At 39.2% G+C, this 2,697-nt stretch overlaps 1 annotated feature.

The window, feature by feature from the left end:
* Positions 1,670–2,258: an enhancer, noted in NCBI's record as "OCT4-NANOG-H3K27ac hESC enhancer chr7:118740781-118741369 (GRCh37/hg19 assembly coordinates)". NCBI's record gives its function as "activates a minimal SCP1, AML or CMV promoter by ChIP-STARR-seq in naive and primed H9 embryonic stem cells {active_cell/tissue: H9 hESC(naive and primed)}" and the evidence as "EXISTENCE:reporter gene assay evidence [ECO:0000049][PMID:30033119]".

Here is a 2,697-nt window from a genome sequence, read left to right on the forward strand (position 1 = left end):
CAACAGTGTTGCTGTTTTCTCGCCTTTTTCTACACTGGTAAAATTTATGCTCACCAACTGAGTTAGGAGGATGGCAGCATGGTGAAAAGGCCACAGATTCTCATTGGTATTATACAAAACTGCAGCAGTTTTTATGAATAAATGCTTCTCAACTTCTTGTTTTTCTTTGATTGATTTCTGCAGCCCTCAAAATGGTTGTTAAAGATAATTTTAAATAGTTTTAGACTTATTATTTAGGGAGAGGATTAGTAAGCTTCTTCACACTACTACAGCCAGATGTCTACTTGTAGAGCTTATATCCCAAGTCACTTACTGAGGAAAGATTTACTTGCTTGTTTACTTTTTATAGTGAGAAGTGAAAGCAAAGTCTTACTTAATAAAGAATGGAGTGTTAGTTATAGGAAAAAAAGGACACAGAAATGAAACCTGAGGTAAATTTGTTTAATGTCTTGATTTTTCCAGTGACAGTCCAATATGGGTATTGTGGGTAAAAAAGGTATCTTCATAAGCTCTTGAGTGTATGGAAACAGCCCATGGAGAGTAAAGAGTGTGAGAGACTGAAGTTCTGTTTGCTATGATGTGCTTTGGGAATCTGGGTAGCCAAATCAATCTTTGAGCTTCAACACCCTAGTCACTACTAAAGAGTTGAACTATATGATTTGGCACTCATCTCTAAATATCTAGCTATACAGAAGTTACATTAGAGTCAATTTTAATATAGAATTTCTTGGTTTCCTCTGTAAAGTTCTGATTCAGTGTGTGAGACAAGGAGGCAAGGTATTTGTTTTTAGCCAGCTTCTCTGTAGAGTCTACATGGAGCCAAGCTATTGGGGCACTGCTCTCTTCCCCTCCACGCCACACCAAGGTTTCATGATTCTTCCTCTTGCCTATGTCAGGTATTATAAGTAGATATTCTTTTTTTCTAAACAATTATACAACAAAAATATGGTGTTTTCTTGGTGCATTGGATTTCTCTGAAATCAAATGTCTTTTCCCCTCCCCCATTGATTATGGTATCTGGTTCAGTTACTGAATATAGTTTATGTAGGTGTTAGCAGCTCTGCAAAAAGGAGATTGCTTACTTAGTAAAAATACTGGTACAGCCCTCTCTACATGAACCAATAATGCATGTCAGGCCAAAGAGGGCTGGAAAAATCTTTGCATCACTCATCGTGTTGTCTGTTCACATTGAAGGGGTGGCCTGCCCCTTCACACCTGTGGGCGTTTCTCGTCAGGTGGAACGAGAGACTTGAGAAAAGAAAGAGACACAGAGACAAAGTATAGAGAAAGAAAATGGGCCCAGGGGACAGGTGCTCAGCATACAGAGGACCCACACCGGCCCCAGTCTCTGAGTTCCCTCAGTATTTATTGATCATTATCGGGGGTTTCTCGGGGAGGGAGATGTGGCAGGACAATAGGGTAATAGTGGAGAGAGGGTCAGCAGGAAAACATGTGAACAAATGTCTCTACATCATAAACAAAGTAAAGGAAAAAGTGCTGTGCTTTTGATGTACATAAACATCTCAATGCCTTAAAGAGCAGTATTGCCTCCAGCCTGTCTCACCTCCAGCCCTAAGGCGGTTTTCTCCTATCTTAGTAGATGGAATATACAATCCGGTTTTACACTCAGACATTCCATTGCCCAGGGACCAGCAGGAGACAGATGCCTTCCTCTTATCTCAACTGCAAAGAGACCTTCCTCTTTTACTAAGCCTCCTCAGCACAGACCCTTTATGGGTGTCAGGCTGGGGGACAGCCAGGTGTTTCCCTCCCCACAAGGCCATATTTCAGCCTATCACATGGGGAGAAAACTTGGACAATACCTAGCTTTCCTAGGCAGAGGTCCCTGCAGCCTTCCGCAGTGTTTTGTGTCCCTGGGTACTTGAGATTAGGGAGTGGTGATGACTTTTAACAAGCATGCTGCCTTCAAGCATTTGTTTAACAAAGCACATCCTGCATTACCCTTAATCCATTAAACCTTGAGTCAACACAGCGCATGTTTCTGTGAGCACAGGGTTGGGGGTAGGGTTACAGATTAACAGCATCTCAAGGCAAAATAATTTTTCTTAGTACAGAACAAAATGGAGTCTCTCATGTCTACTTCTTTCTACATAGACACAGTAACAGTTTGATCTCTCTTTCTTTTCCCCACACACATCCCCTAAGAAAATATATTTTTGCATTTGTTCTACTATTGACTTATTTTCTTAACATTTTAAACCTTAAGAACAAAGGTTAAATAAAGCACACCACATAATCTTGCAGGGGATATTTGCATTTTAAAACTGCCAGTAATAGAAGAACGTGATAGCACACGTAGGCATAGGTTTTGATCAAAGATGGGAGATATAGGGGACTCTGAAAAAAATCTCTAGGAGTAATGAAAAGTAAATAGAGATGGGCTTAAAATAACTCATAGACTATCTCATTTTTGACTTGTATTGTTTTTGTATCACAGGAATTTGAGCACATAAATATAGTTTCTATGAAGTACTGATCATATTCCTTCAGCTTAGTGACATAGCTAAGTTCAAGTTAAAGTAGAGTAGGCTGTCATTAGTAAAAATGCCCAGATAACAAAAAATAATCATGGACCAAACATAATTTTCATAACTATAAAAGTTTAATGTTCAGACTGCTTTTAAGTTTTTCAATGATTTTTTTTCAATCAGACACATTTTTATGCTTCACACATTT

The sequence above is a fragment of the Homo sapiens genome, chromosome 7 (assembly GCF_000001405.40).
Source record: "Homo sapiens chromosome 7, GRCh38.p14 Primary Assembly".
Classification (NCBI taxonomy): domain Eukaryota; kingdom Metazoa; phylum Chordata; class Mammalia; order Primates; family Hominidae; genus Homo; species Homo sapiens.